Source organism: Homo sapiens, chromosome 9 (genome assembly GCF_000001405.40).
Source record: "Homo sapiens chromosome 9, GRCh38.p14 Primary Assembly".
Lineage (NCBI taxonomy): Eukaryota > Metazoa > Chordata > Mammalia > Primates > Hominidae > Homo > Homo sapiens.
In genome coordinates, this window is record NC_000009.12 from 130,200,622 (window position 1) to 130,215,237 (window position 14,616).

A 14,616-nucleotide genomic window follows, 5' to 3' on the forward strand; every position below is an offset into this window, starting at 1 on the left:
GATGTTGGCCTGGGAGCAAGGGCTGTGGGAGAAGCAAACCCTTGAGTGCCACAGGGCGTTCCTGGGGGCTCTCCCAGCAGCGGCAGTGGCAGTGGCAGGTAGCACTTGGGCACCGGGAAGGGGTGGGGCCAGTGTCCCCTGCTGGGGTGGTGGGTACAGAGCCCCTGGCTAGGACTGCTCACCAAGGGAGCATTTTCTCATCCAGAGCAGGCCGTTGCCCGGGGACATGGCCGTGGGGAGGGGAGGGCTGGAGGGGAGGCCCCCCAGCGAATGTCTGCCCATCTCCCGGGACACCTTCCCTGAGCTAAAAGCCTACTTTTCTGCTTTCTCTTGCAGTTACCGAGAAGGAGGTCCAGCAGTGGTGAGTAGCTGCTTTTTCTCAAACCGTAGAGGGGCTGCGGCTGTGGGCTTTGTGGGCTGTGGGCTGATGGGGACAGCAGTCCAGCTGCTCAGGATGGGGGCATGTGGAGGGGCCCCTGAGCGTGGGGTCCAGACAGCCTTTGTTCAGTGGCCTTTGTCCTTGCGGGACTGACGTGGTTTCAGTGGAACTGGGTTGGGGGTGGCGCTGGGGTGTTTGTTGGTGGTCCTTGCTTTGAGTTGCATCTTTAGGGACCACCAAGGCCTGAAGGGTTGATTCCAGGCCCTGTTCACCAAAGAGAAGGGTTTGGATAAGAAAGTCCTTCTATGACCTTGAGAGGTCCTTTCCCCTCGCTGGGGCTCCGTCACCCCTTCTATAGAATGATCGATTCGATTGGATCAGGGATGGCAAATGGGTTTGCTCTTGGATGCCAGCTCTATTCAATCTGTCGTAGCTGCCTGGAGGGCCGTGATAAGGATTCCGAGGCCGTACGTCATGGAGCAAATGGAAAAGCGGCAGTGAGGGATAAGTGGGGCCTGTAATGGATGAGCAGTGCCAGGGCTGGGCCTGGGGGAGGAGGGCGGTGTATTGTCCGTCTTTGTGGAATGTGGAGCAGACAGGAGGCTCACCATGTAAGGTGGCTGAGCTGTAGGGGTGGCACGTAGGGACATGAGGCAATGAGCTTGGAGATTTTCCAGTCAAGTCTGGCAGGGCCGGGCACCCCCCAGGAGCCTCCAGGGCCACTCCCTACACCTCCCTGCCTCAAGTCCAAGCTGCAGATGGGGCAGGGCTATGCTGGCCCGCCTGGCTCTGCTGAGCCCTTGCTGGGAGGTGCCCCATCCTGGGATTGAGTTTCCGCCCTCACTTTCCACTTCTGCACTTCCCCAGGTGAGTGCCCTAGAAACACCCTCCTTCTAGATCTTCACCCATGTGGCTCTGCTTCCTGGAATGCCCGCCTTCCTTCCTGGGCCATCTGAACTCTGCCCCTCCCAAGGCTCAGCCCAAGTCGCCTCCACCATGAAACCTCCCTAGATTCCCCATCCGTACATGTTCTCCCTGCCTTCACACACGCCAGCCAGAGGGGTCTTTGCTGAACAAAAACCTGACCATGCCAGGCGTCTGCCACCCTCCCCAGACCTCAGGGTGAAGTCCTCACCCTTGACATGGTTATGTGCTTACGAGGCCTGGTTCAGTCTGGCCCTGTTGACCCCTGCAGTCTGGCGTCCTCTGCCTGTTGGCCTTTGCCCTTTACCCTCTGGCCAGCCTGAACTGCTGTTTGTTCCTTGAACTCACCTTTGTCTCCGGGGCTTCCTGATGTTTGCCCAGGCTGCTCCCTCTGCCTGCTGGGCTGTTACCTCCTCGCCCCTCCCCCCCACCCCCTGAAACCCCCCAGGCCTCTGTCAGAGTTCCCACTGCCCTGTGCCTCCCTGGGACAGCCGATGACTTACTGGGCAGCAGGTAAGCATTTTGTCCCTCTCTGCATCCTGTCGGCACTCTGAGGGCTGGCTAGCTTGGCCTTGTCCATGTTGTGTCCCTAGGGCCTGGCCACAGTGGGTGCTTGGCCCCCAACAGGCATCGTCCTTGGTGCTTCAAATCCATGTTTTTTTTTTTTTTTTGAGTTGGAGTCTCTCGCTCTGCCACCCAGGCTAGAGTGCAGTGGCATGATCTCAGCTCACTGCAACCTCCGCCTCCCAGAGTCAAGCGATTCTCTTGTCTCTGCCTCCCGAGTAGCTGGGACTACAGGTGTGTGCCACCATGCCCCACTAATTTTTATATTTTTAGTAGAGACGGGGTTTCACCATCTTGGCCAGGCTGGTCTCGAGCTCCTGACCTCAAGTGATCCACCCACCTCGGCCTCCCAAAGTGCTGGGATTACAGGAGTGAGCCACTGCACGTGGCCTGCCATTGACTTCTGGGAGCAGTACTAGGGGTTAACAGAGCTCATCATTCCACATGGCAGATGAGGAAACTGAGGTTCAGAGAAAGTCCAGTTGGGAGGTGGCAGGGTTGGGATGAACCATAGGCATCGAGACTCCAGAAGCTGAGCTCTTGCCTCCAGGGTAAATATGTGTGTGTGTGTGTGTGTGTGTGTGTGTGTGTGTATACACATACATATATATGTGTGTGTGTGTGCGTGTGTATGTATATATATATATATTTTTTTTTTTTTTTCTTGAGACAGAGTCTCTCTGCTCTGTTGCTCAGGCTGGAGTACAGTGGTGCCATCTCAGCTCAATTACAGTGATTCCCCTGCCTCAGCCTCTCAAGTAGCTGGAACTACAGACATCCACCTGATGCCTGGCTAATTTTTCTATTTGTAGAGACGGGGTTTTGCCATGTTGGCCAGGCTGGTCTTGAACTCCTGGGCTCAAGCCTTGGCCTCCCAAAATGCTGGGATTACAGGCGTAAGCCACCGTGCCCAGCCTCCAGTGTGAATATTTGAATGAGGGATGAATGAGTGGACAGCAAGGAGTCTTCGGGGGACCATGAGAAAGCTCAGCATCTCCCAAGGAGGGCCAGGGCAGGGGAGGGCAGTGGCTAGAGTTGCTGGGTGGCCGGTAAGGGACAGACGTGAGCAGCTGTCCCCCACGCCCATTGCCCTGGCCCCGATTGTGGCTGCTCATGACCAAGGCACCTCCCCAGGGGTCTCAGGGGACTGGGGGCTAAGGAGGGGACACCAGGAGCTGTCTGCCTGGGCCTCTTCCAGGGCAGGGAAGAGGACGAGGTTTGTGTTTGAGAGATGGGGATGCTTCCCAAGCACCGCTGTGAGCCAGCCAGGCTCTCAGACACAGCCTCGTTCATTTCATTCTCACAATGACCCAGAGGAGACGACCCCATCATGGCACCTCAGCATATCATAGATGAAGACACTGAGACCTGCCTGAGTTCCCCCCGGCGTCCTCCCCTTCCCACACCTGGGCCTTCTCCTGGAGCCGCAGACAGCAGAGTGGCTGGGATCTTGGGCTCCAGAACTGGGCAGGCTGAATTCTTTTAATTTTTATTTAAAAAATTTTTTTTCTTTAATTTTTTTGAGACAGAGTCTCGCCTTGTTGCCCAGGCCAGAGTGCAGTGGCGCAATCTCAGCTCACTGCAACCTCTGCCTCCCGGGTTCATGCGAATCTCCTGCCTCAGCCTCCCAAGTAGCTGGGATTACAGGTGCACACCACCATGCCTGGCTAATATTTTTGTATTTTTTTAGGACAGACGGGGTTTCACCATGTTGGCCAGGCTGGTCTTGAACTCCTGAGCTCAAGTGATCTGCCCTCCTCGGCCTCCCAAAATGCTGGGATTACATATATTTAAATTATTATTAATATTATTTTTTCAGAGACAGGGTGTTGCCCTGTCGCCCAGGCTGGAGTGTGGTGGTACTACCAAAGCTCACTGCAGCCTTGACCTCCTGGGCTCAAGTGATCCTCCTGACTCAGCCTCCTGATTAGCTGGGACTACAGGCATTTACCACCATGGCTGGCTAGTTATTTAAAAAATTTTACTGTAGAGCTGGGGCCTCACTATATTGCCCAAGCTTGAGCTTCTGGCCTCAAGCAATCCTCCTGACTCAGCCTCCCGAGTAGCTGAGACGGCAGGTGCGAGCCACTGCGCCCGCCTCTGGGCTTGAATCCTGACTTGCCCACTTCCTGGCTGAGTGACCTTGGACAAATGACTAGACTTTTTAGGACCTCAGTTTCCCCATCTGGAAAAGGAGGGGGATAATAGTAAAACTTTCTAGGAGTAGTGTGAAGAATAAATGTGCTAATTCACATAAGACGTTTGGAACAGAGTCTAGGAAACATTTTCTCTGCTGGTGTCAGTAACCGTAGTAATCATGGTCCTGGCATCATCCGTGGAACCCAAAGAACAGCCCTGAGATTGAGGACTTTCTCCGCATTAGGCGGATGAGGAAACTGAGGCCCAGGGGGGTGAGTGACTTTTGTTTACTCATCAAGCAGCAATAGAGCGTGCTCCCTGTGCCAGGCACCGTCCCACACCCTGGGGAGACACCGAGAACTGGACAAAACCCCAGGCCCCGACATACACATGAGTACAAAGCGGGGTCACTGTGGGCTGAGAAATGTCCTGTGGGGAAACGAAGATGAGAGCACAGCAAGGTGGGGGCCTCGTTAGGAGGGAGAGGTCAGGCAAGGCTGCTCTGGAATTCTGACATTTGAGCTGCAACCTAGAAAATAAGGACTCGGTGGTGGAACTTGGGTCATATCCACCCAGGCGTAGAAAACAGCAAGGACAAGGGCTGGGAGGGGGACACGAGCCTGGCGAATTAGAGGACCAGCAGGGAGCCAAGGAGGCTGGCTTGAGGGGGCGGTGTGGAGGCTCCCGCAGCAAAACAGGGACCCTCAGCTGTGTGAGGCCCAGTGCTCACTGTGGGGGCACTTCCCCTAAAGAGCTTATAAAGAAAAAAGCAACCTGCTTTAGGGATGCACCTATAGTCCCAGCTACTCAGGAGGCTGAGGTGGGAGGATGGCTTGAGCCCAGGAGGTCGAGGCTGCAATGAGCTATGATTGCCCTGCTGCAGGCAATACAGTGAGACCTCGTCTCTTAGAAAAAAAAAAAAAAAAAAGCCTGGGCACGGTGGCCCACACGTGTAATCCCAGCAATTTGGGAGGCCAAGGCAGAGGATCATTTGAGCCCAGGAGTTTGAGACCAGCCTGGGCACATAAGGTGATCTCGTCTCTACAAAAGAAAAAAAAAAAAAAGCTGGACATGGTGGCACATGCCTATGGTCCCAGCTACTTGGCTGAGATGGGAAGATCGCTTGGGCCCCAGAGGTCAAGGCTGCAGTGAGCTATGATTGTGTCACTGTACTCCAGCTTAGGTGACAGAGTGAGACCCTGTCTTAAAAAAAAAAAAAAGATAAGAAAATAGGTGGTCTTTTCTCTGCCCTCTGGCAGAGAAAAGTTCTGTGTGTCTCAAGTAAATATCCTGTGGTTCATTTTGGCAGTACCTTGAAGGCTAGGAGATGGTTGAACCAATGCCTTTCTCTGGCTCTCCTAGGTCAGCCCACTACCCACTTCACTGTTGTATTCTACAATGGTCCCATCCCCTCAGGGCGACGCTAGACCAGGGATGGTTAGACAGTGACACTCTGCCCTCCTGTGCCCATGGCAGACATCAGTAATGGATTACAGAGTATGTTGCTCTGTGCTCTGGGAGCCAGGGGAACTGCTGTTACCATACAAAATAAACCAGTTTGCTATTCCTTGATTGTCTTAAACTTCACTGGTTAACCACGAGCCTGCCTACTCACGGGCTGGATTCGCCAGGCCCACTGTCCCCTCTGTCCTTTGCACAGAAGGCAAATGAGGTGAGCACCTGCATCCCAAACACCCTGGCCCATTTTCAGAGGGCCCTTTCTCACCGTGGCCTCCAGCTGGCACCCATTCTTGTTCTTTTTCTTTTCTTTCTTTCTTTTTTTTTTTTTTTTTTTTCCTGAGATGGAGTCTCACTCGGTCGCCCAGGCTAGAGTGCAGTGGCACGATCTCAACTCACTGCAATCTCTACCTCCTGGGTTCAAGTGATTCTCTTGCCTCAGCTTCTCGAGTAGTTGGGATTACAGGCCCCTGCCACCATGCCCAGCTAATTTTTGTATTTTTAGTAGAGGTGGTGATTTCACCACGCTGGCCAGGCTGGTCTCGAACTCCTGACCTCAGATGATCCGCCCACCTCAGCCTCCCAAAGTGCTGGGATTACATGTGTGAGCCACCGCGCCCGGCCCCGTTCTTGTTCTGAACAACTCTCAGGACACCCGACAGCCAGAGACTCCACCCGTGCCTGCCTCTCTCTTGGGAAAATGCAGGATTCCTGAGCCCCGGCTTTCAGGGCAACAGGCAGTGTAGGGTCCAGCCATCCGGGGTGGGAGCGGCAGTAGGAGGGAGGGACATTCAGGGAGCAGCGGGCCACAGTGGACATGGTTTTCCTCTCCCACCTGAGAAGCGCCAGGTCAGCTTCAGCCGAGGAAGTGGCTTCGACAGCCTCCTGTCTCTCTTTGTTCATCACATGTGTGGGGCTCCCCTTGTCTCTGCACACATGTTACTAGCCCTCTTGTTCCCTTGCCTCATGTCCAGCTCCTCAGCCCAGCCAGCCTGCCTCCCCCAGACAGCAGATCCTGAATCTGATCCCAGCCCCTGGCCACACGGGTCCGAGCCCCTGGTCTGCAGTGGTGCCACAGCCTCGGCCTCACTGGGCTGCTGCCTGCCTATGCTGGCTCTGCTGTTCTTGGCCCCATACAGCCTCTGCTAGAGCTTTGGAAAATGGGACAGCCCCTCTGTGACTTCCCGCTGCACTTAGAATAAAGCCCTAGCACCTTGCCTCGCCCACAGGGCTCCCTGAGGTCTCTGACCTCAACTTTTCCCCTGGGTCACCGTGCACTGGCCACACTTGCTGTCCCTCACCTGTGCCGAGCTCATCCCACCTCAGAGCCTCTGCCCCTGCTGTTCCTTTTGCTAAGGAGACTGTGGCCTCCAGTCTCGGCATGGCTTGTTCTGTCTCGATAGTCACACCTTCACCCCAGTCAGCTGCTCAGAGAGGAGGTCCCTGTCTGTCCTGTACAATCTAGGGTCATCTGGGTTTGTGCTGACATATAGCAGCTGCCATACAGGGTCTTAAGTGATTCTGTGATTTGTCCTGGGCCGCAAAGTCAGTAGAAGCAGAGCCTGGACTAGAACTCGGGCTCCAGTGCCGGTCAGGTCCCAAGTCCCCAGGAGAGCACAGGCCAGGGCACGGCAATAGGAGGCCCGGGCCAGGCCAACTGGGCATGCTCACCCTGCACCAGGCTCCGCACTGGGCATCCCACGGTGCCAGCTCCTTGGTGCCTCCCAGCTCTGAGCTGCTGGTGCCGTTGTCTGTATTTGGCAGAGGGAGGAAGCTGGAGGCTTTGAGAGGTAGAGCCGGCATTGGTGTCCACAGCCAGCTTCCGGGTCTGCAGCCAGCCCAGTATCCCCCGCTTCCCCATCCCTTGTTCTTTTATCTTAGTTCCTGCTCACTTGAGCCCAATTCACCGTCGTGGAAGATCAGGAACCACAATGAGGGCTGCTTAAGAAATGGCAGATCCCAGGCCTGTAAAGGTGACTGTGAGCTCTGTAATCACCTGGAAAGTGATGAGGGCATTATCCTGAGTGGAGACAGCAGGGTACACACCGTCATCGGGCACCAGTCCATGATGGAAAAAATGTAGGCAGAGAAGAAAGATGGGATGGATGCAGGCTGAGGCTGGTCGTGGGTGTGTGAGGTGGGGGTGGGGGGCGGGTGTCCTCTGGTGGATTATGTGTCCTATTTTCCAACTTTTCTGCAACTATTTTTTTTTTTGAGACAGTCTCGCTTGGTTGCCCAGGCTGGAGTGCAGTGGTACAATCTTGGCTCACTGCAACTCTGCCTCCTGGGTTCAAACGATTCTCCTGCCTCAGCCTCCCGAGTAGCTGGGATTACAGGCACCCACCACCACGCCTGGCTAATTTTTGTATTTTTAGTAGAGACGGGGGTTTCACGTTGGCCAGGCTGGTCTCAAACTCCTGACCTCAGGAAATGCCCACCTCGGCCTCCCAAAGTGCTGGGATTATGGGCATGAGCCACTGCGCCTGACTCTACAATGGGTTTTATTACTTTTATAATAACCAAATATCCTAGCAATATGATAGCAAAAGTAGTGGGTGGAAGCCGGAGGAATTCTGTCCTCGCATCAACACGGCCAGCTGTTGATTCTGGGCCGCGCCATGCAGAGTGGGCGCGGAGACAGCCTCTCAGCAACACACTGGGGGCTTTCCTGCGGGCAGGCACAGTGCTGATGAAACGGTGCCGTGCGGAGAATACGAGGAGCGGCCCCATTTTACAGATGAAGAGACTGAGGCTCAGAAGGGTGGAGACCCTTGCCCAGGTCACACAGCTCTGTGTGTGTGTGTGTGTGGAGTCTGGGTCCAGCTCGCTCTGCCTCCGTGGTCCTGAATATTGGGGCTCAGACCCGCCGGCTTCTTGCTTTCTTGCTCTGGGAAACCTGTAAAACCGGAGGCTACTGGGGGGAAGGGAAAGGAAGAGGAACCATCTCATGGCTGTTTGGGACCCTCCTCCAGGTCTCCAGGGAGTGTGGGGAGGGGCATGCCACTGGAGAGAGTTGTTTGAAGAGATAATGGGAGAATAATTTGCCGAGGCTGCCGCTGCGCCCATCCCCGCTGCGCCTGGCTGATTGCAGCTTGGGGTAATGCTTTATGATTTATCCGTCTAGCAATCTCTGTCCCACCTTTTGCACTGCAGAGAGCAGCTGCCGCAGTATCATCAGCATGGCAGGAAATGCAGGGCTGGCCTCCCAGCAGGATCCCAGAGGACATGAGTCTGCAGGAACTGAGAGTGGCAAATTCGGGGGAAGTCCTAGAGGACCGGGGCGTTTGGGAGACTGAGGCCTGGCAGTGCGGGGGCTTGCTCAGGCCCTCAGAGAACTAGAGGCCAAAGTGGAGTTGGACCCGTGTGTCCTGGGAGCATTCAATCATTGGTTCATTTGTTCACTGATTCATTCAGTACATCTTGACTGAGCACCTACTCTATGCCAGGCCAGTGCCGGTTGCGGGCGGGCATCCGGGACTGAGGGGGGCGAGGTGCTTGGAGTCTCCTGGTGGACGAGGGCATTCACCCAGCCTGGCGCCGTGTTGGGGAAGAGAAGGTGGGAGGTGTGGGAGGAGACCCAGCGCTGGCGTGGGAACTGTTTTGCAAGTGGTAGTCAGCTTTCAGGATTTTTATGAAATGAGGTTTCTTTTCTCCCCTGCCCTTTTAAAGAAGTGTAAGAACGCCGTTGTTGAATCTAGGATTTTCTTTTCTCATCTCTACCCTGTCTCGTGGAGCTGGTTCCCAAACACAGTCAACCATATCAGAAACCTCGGCTTCCCGTGGCTGGGGATCGCAGGCCCCGTTCTTCACAGCCTGGGCCTGCCTCTGAGGTCTGGCACCATGGCTCTTCTCTAATCCCCAAAGGGGTCTCTGGACCCCAAAGAGTTAAGACCCTGTTCGCGAACAAGGTTGTGTGAGGTGTGGCCTCTGTATAAACATCTCGGGCTGAGTTACTGGGTGGGGAGGGGCAGTGAGGGGTCTTGGTACGTCCCCGCCCATGTACTAGGAGACTGGGTATTAGGAAGGACTTCCCGGCCAGGCGCGATGGCTCACACCTGTAATCCCAGCATTTTGGGAGGTTGAGGCGGCCAGATCATGAGGTCAGGAGTTCAAGACCAGTCTGGCCAACATGATGAAACCCCGTCTCTACTAAAAATACAAAACTTAGCTGGGCATGGTGGCACGCACCTGTAGTCCCAGCTACTCGGGAGGCTGAGGCAGGAGAATTGCTTGAACCTGGGAGGCGGAAGTTGCAGTGAGTGTAGATCGTGCCCCTGTACTCCAGCCTGGGTGACAGAGTGAGACTCAGTCTTAGAAAAAAAAAAAAAAAGAAAGAAAGGGAAGGACTTCCCATGGGGCCAGAGTGGGGACTCGGGAGGGTATTGTGGAACCTTCCTCTTGGGACAGCTGGTGGGACGAGGTAACGGGGGTTGGGCTGTCCCTGGCCACTGGCTCTGGTGTTTGTGGAGGTCGTAGATCAGGGCTTGGGGCATGGCCAGTGCTCAGGACGTCCTGTGGTGTTAACAATCTCAGCTCATTTGTCCAGGCCCACTCAGGGGTCTGAAAGGAGGGTGTAAGGTTGGCTCTCACCTCACAGATGAGGAAACCGAGACTCTGAGGGGAACCGTCACCTGCCCCAGGTCACACACAGGTCAAGAGTGGGGCAGGATCAAGCCAGGACTGAAGCTTGAGCCCTTCTTTTTCAGTTTCTTAAACTTAAAAAGAAAAAAAATTCAACACCTTTTTCTTTTTCTTTTCTTTTTTTTTTTTTGAGACAGGGTCTGGCTTTGTTGCCCAGGCTGGAGTGTAATGGTGTGATCATAGCTCACTGCAACCTCAAACTTTTGGGCTCAAGGGACCCTCCTCCTTCAGCCTCCCAAACAGCTAGGAGGACAAACACAAGCCACTGTGCCCGGCTCCACTAATTTTTTTTTTTTTTTTTTTTTGTAGAGAGATGGGGTCTTGCTATGTTGCCCGGGGTGGTCTCAAACTCCTGGGCTCAGGTGATCCTCCTGCTTCGGCCTCCCAAAGTGCTGGGATTCCAGGTGTGAGCCACCTGACCCAGCCTCCTGTTTTATATTACAGAGTTCCTGTATGCTCAATGCCACCAGTGAAAATAATCACGGATATTCACAATCATAATGATAATCATAGGGACCCCTCTGCCACCCCTTTCTCCTGCACACATGAAGCACTTATCTGAAATTGGGGGCCTGCATGGTGGACCCCCAGAGCCATCCATCCTCTGGAGCCTGGAGATGCTGGGGCTGGACTCCGAGATCCTGCCCTGAACCCCTGACCATGCTGAGCACCTTGAGTCGCCAGTCTGCAGGGAGACTCGGGATAACGGGTTGTTCCTGGTGCCATCTCTACTCCTCCACCCTGGCCTGGCCTGAGCCAGCAATGATGCTGGGACTCCTGTCCCTTCCACTGTGGGTCTGGAATCAAGCAGAAGATGTGGAAGAAATCAGGTCCGCGGAGGACTTTCGGCTTCCACCTGGCTGTCAGAGAGGTGGGCAGGGCCAGGAGAGCCGGTCCCTCTCTCCCCTTCCTGGTACCGAGCACAGAGGCAGCTCCCATTCTGGAGTATGGGCTCTGGTCCTGGCCACCTCGTTGGCTAGCTGTGTGAGCCTGACGTTAACTGAGTGACTACTATGTTTGCCAGGCACAGGAGTGGGCGGTGCAGGTTTGGAGGTGAACTAGAAGATAGGGCTCCTGCCTCAACAGCCCGTGGCCTGTCACTGCACAAGTCACTCAAATCATTCCCAAGGCACAGCTGCTTGAGGTGCCACCAAGGCCCAGCTGGGGGATGGGGTGCTGGGAGTGTGTCCTGGAGCATGACCCGGCCTGGGGTGGTCAGAGAGGCTTCTCTCAGGGAGATGCTCTGGTGCCGAGAAGGAAGCGGTGAGTGGAGTCAGGCAGGTGGGGAGGAGGGGGAAGGGCAGACCATGTGGAAGACATCCATATGGACGCCCTGAGCCAGGAGGGGCCTTCACCTCCAGAAACCTCAGTTTCTCCATTGGCAAAGTGGGCGGGATTGGCCTCACCTTCTGGATGTTGGGACGATGGGGCAGAATCGTTCCTGGAAAGCACACGGCCGCGTGCCTGCCTCTCAGATCTCCTGAATAGCCGTTAGAATCACAGATGCTTATGGCGGATCCCCTGAGCTTGTGGGGGTCCCCAGAGACCATCTGGTCCAGTGGTTCTCAACCTGGGTGGTTCTGCCCCCGAGGGGATATTTGGCAATGTCTGGAGACACTTGAGGTTGTCCTAACTTGGGGAGGGGGTGCTACTGGCATCTGTCTGGCAGAGGCTGGAGATGCTGCTAAGTGTCTACTATGCACAGGACAGGCCTGCACGACAGCGACCTGGCCCCGAACGTCAGGAGTGCCGGGGTGGGGAAACCCTGATCTAGTATGAGCCACTTACTTTACTCACAGGGAAACCGAGGGGCGTTGTGGGGAAGGGGTTTGCTCAGGGTCCTCCCCCAGCACAACAGGTTAGTGCCAGGCCAGGGGCACAGGCCCGTGTCCCAGCACCAGAGCAGGTCTGGCGGCAGCGTGTCTGAAGGAGAGAGGGAGGGACTGGCAGGAGGGGAGGGAGGAGGTCCGGGCCTGTGGGAACCTGCAGGAGTGGGGGATGGAGTCACGTCTCTCAGGCATCCTGGGGACAAAATTCTTGGGCATGATCTTCATCATATGCCAGCAGCTCACTCGGGTGCCCACTGCAAGAGGGAGTGTGCAGCTGCTTCAGGGGGTCCTGACTCAGCCAGCCGGTGGCAGATGGGTGGCACGTCAGGCTGGGACCATGGTGTGAAATCCCAGCCTCACAGCTGTGATTTGCAGGGTGGTAGAGGCCTGGGGGTGGCTGGGGTGGCTGGGAAGGTTCAGACCCCCCCATCCCGTCTCTCTGCTCCAGTTGAGGCAGGCTCCCTCCTCCACCTTCTGATGATGAGCAGGAGGTTACGTAATGTTTGGGTAGCAGTCGCTTTACCCATGCGCTTACACGGGGGCGGTGCAGCCTGGCTTGCCGGAGGGGCAGGTGAGGCGGGGAGCCTGGGAGGCAGGAGCCCTGGGTCTGAGCCCTGTTTCTGCTGGTGACTTGCTGTGTGACTTTCGGCCTGTCTCTCTCCCTCTCTGGGCCAGTCTTCTCCATACACAGAGGGTGGGAGCACATCACTGGTTTTCTTTTCTTTCTTTTTTTTTCTTTTGAGACGGAGTCTCGCTCTGTCCCCCAGGCTGGAGTGCAGTGGCGTGATCTCGGCTCACTGCAAGCTCCGCCTCCTGGGTTCTCACCATTCTCCTGCCTCAGCCTCCTGAGTAGCTGGGACTTACAGGCGCCCGCCACCACGCCCGGCTAATTTTTTTGTATTTTTAGTAGAGACGGGGTTTCACCGTGTCAGCCAGGATGGTCTCCATCTCCTGACCTTGTGATCCGCCCGTCTCAGCCTCCCAAAGTGCTGGGATTACAGGTGTGAGTCACCACGCCTGGCCCACCGGTTTTCTTTTCTTTTTTTTTGAGATGGAGCCTCACTTTATCGCCCAGGCTGGAGTGCAGTGGCGTGATCTCGGCTCACTGCAACCTCTGACTCCTGGGTTCAAGTGATTCTCCTACCTCAGCCTCCTGAGTAGCTGGGATTAGAGACATGAGGCACGTGCTTATTTTGTATATATAGTAGAGACAGGGTTTCACCATGTTGGCCAGGCTGGTCTCAAACTCCTGACCTCAAATGATCCGCCCACCTCTGCCTCCCAAAGTGCTGGAATTACAGGCGTGAGCCACCATGCCTGGCCACACCTCAGTGGTTTTCTAACTGTGCCCACAGAGCTCTTAGGTCTCAGCCAGGGTCTCTGGAGGTCCCTGTTCCATGGGGCTCAGGAAGAAGGAGCCAGACGCCAACTGGGCTCTTGTTCCCTCTGCCCCTGCCTGGCAATTTGTGTGTTTATTCATTCACCTCACCGGACAAACATGCCCCAGGACCATGTTACATGCCAGGCCTCATGCGGGTCATCAGGGCACAGCGGTGTCAGGGGGCCTACATTCCGGTGGGGGACTGGCGTGGAGGCACATATGGTATAGCGTGGTACAGGCTCTGCTGGGACAGACAAGTGGGCAGGGGCACAGAGGAGGCCCGGAGGCCTCAGACCTGGGGCTGGGCCGACTTCCTGAAAGCAGCAGCATCTAAGCTGGGGCCTGGCGGGAGAGTGGGTGGGCCCATGTTAAAGAAAGCGATATTCTCACGCTTCTTAAAATGGTCAGGAAGGCTTCACTGGGGACTCTTGCAATAGGTGTCAGGACTATCACAACCTGGGAGAGAGAGGGGAATCAACTCCGAATGCAAGGAAGTGAGGCTTCACAGCCAATGAACAGGGTGAGGGGTCAGCAGATGGAAACTAAGAGGAGGCCTCCAGGGCAGGGGATTCCTGCTGAACTGACTGGGCAGGCTGATGCTGGAGGCGGGACGAGGACTCACACGTGAAGCGAACTGGGGAGGAGGCACTTGATCAGATATCGTGGGGGTGGGGATTCTGGCTACAGCTGGGCCAGGCAGGCTGAAGAGCAGGGGAGGGGCCAGGGGACAGGTCGAGGCCAAGTGAGAAGAGGGCTCAGAGGAGCCTGTCTGAAGTCTGGGTGTGGAGTATGGGGGGTTTGGCAGGAGGAAGCTGGAACATCAGGCTGGGCACCCTCTCATGGACATCACCTCATGGGGGGCTTCTTGGGGCCCCTGCTATTGGCACAGAAGGGAGCTGGGGCCCCACAGTAATAACCTCTGCAGGGGTAACTGGATAGGCCCCCAAAGGCTCCCCACTGAAGCCAGTTTCCCTCTGCAAAGACCTTCACTGCCAGCCTTTCACAGCTGCTCACTGTGCTGGCGCTGTGCACAGCCTCCATCTCCTTAGAGCAGCCCCTGTGAGCCATCTGCAGGGAGGCCTTTGGGTGCCTTTTGTTTTGTCTTTATTGTTTTTAATAACCTTTTAGAATCACTCAAGTAACACAAAGTCATTGTGGATAAGTTAGAAGGTTTGCACGAAGAAGAAGTAACCATCTGACATCCAGAGATGTCTGGTGACAGTTGGGTGTGCCCCCACATGGGTCATTAAGTCCTGGTGCCAGGCATGTTCCCTCCTCTGCCCAGGGGCCCATCCTGGCCT

General features: G+C 55.6%; 1 protein-coding gene across 2 annotated transcripts in view, besides 3 other annotated features; it reads left to right on the top strand.

Annotated features, from left to right (window-relative positions):
- The window catches only part of NCS1 (neuronal calcium sensor 1), a 64,900-nt gene that overhangs the window by 28,218 nt on the left and 22,066 nt on the right, over positions 1 to 14,616 (top strand). For both annotated transcript variants that reach the window (NM_014286.4, NM_001128826.2), the window contains exon 2: positions 337 to 361. In NM_014286.4, coding sequence (NP_055101.2) covers positions 337 to 361 — 25 coding nt within the window. The remainder of the gene's footprint in view (positions 1 to 336; positions 362 to 14,616) is intronic.
- Positions 8,369 to 9,060: an enhancer, noted in NCBI's record as "H3K27ac-H3K4me1 hESC enhancer chr9:132971269-132971960 (GRCh37/hg19 assembly coordinates)". NCBI's record gives its function as "activates a minimal SCP1, AML or CMV promoter by ChIP-STARR-seq in primed H9 embryonic stem cells {active_cell/tissue: H9 hESC(primed)}" and the evidence as "EXISTENCE:reporter gene assay evidence [ECO:0000049][PMID:30033119]".
- Positions 9,753 to 10,444: an enhancer, noted in NCBI's record as "H3K27ac-H3K4me1 hESC enhancer chr9:132972653-132973344 (GRCh37/hg19 assembly coordinates)". NCBI's record gives its function as "activates a minimal SCP1, AML or CMV promoter by ChIP-STARR-seq in naive H9 embryonic stem cells {active_cell/tissue: H9 hESC(naive)}" and the evidence as "EXISTENCE:reporter gene assay evidence [ECO:0000049][PMID:30033119]".
- Positions 13,849 to 14,036: a silencer, noted in NCBI's record as "fragment chr9:132976749-132976936 (GRCh37/hg19 assembly coordinates)". NCBI's record gives its function as "represses an EF-1alpha promoter that drives an FKBP-Casp9 reporter gene in an ReSE screen in HepG2 liver carcinoma cells {active_cell/tissue: HepG2}" and the evidence as "EXISTENCE:reporter gene assay evidence [ECO:0000049][PMID:32094911]".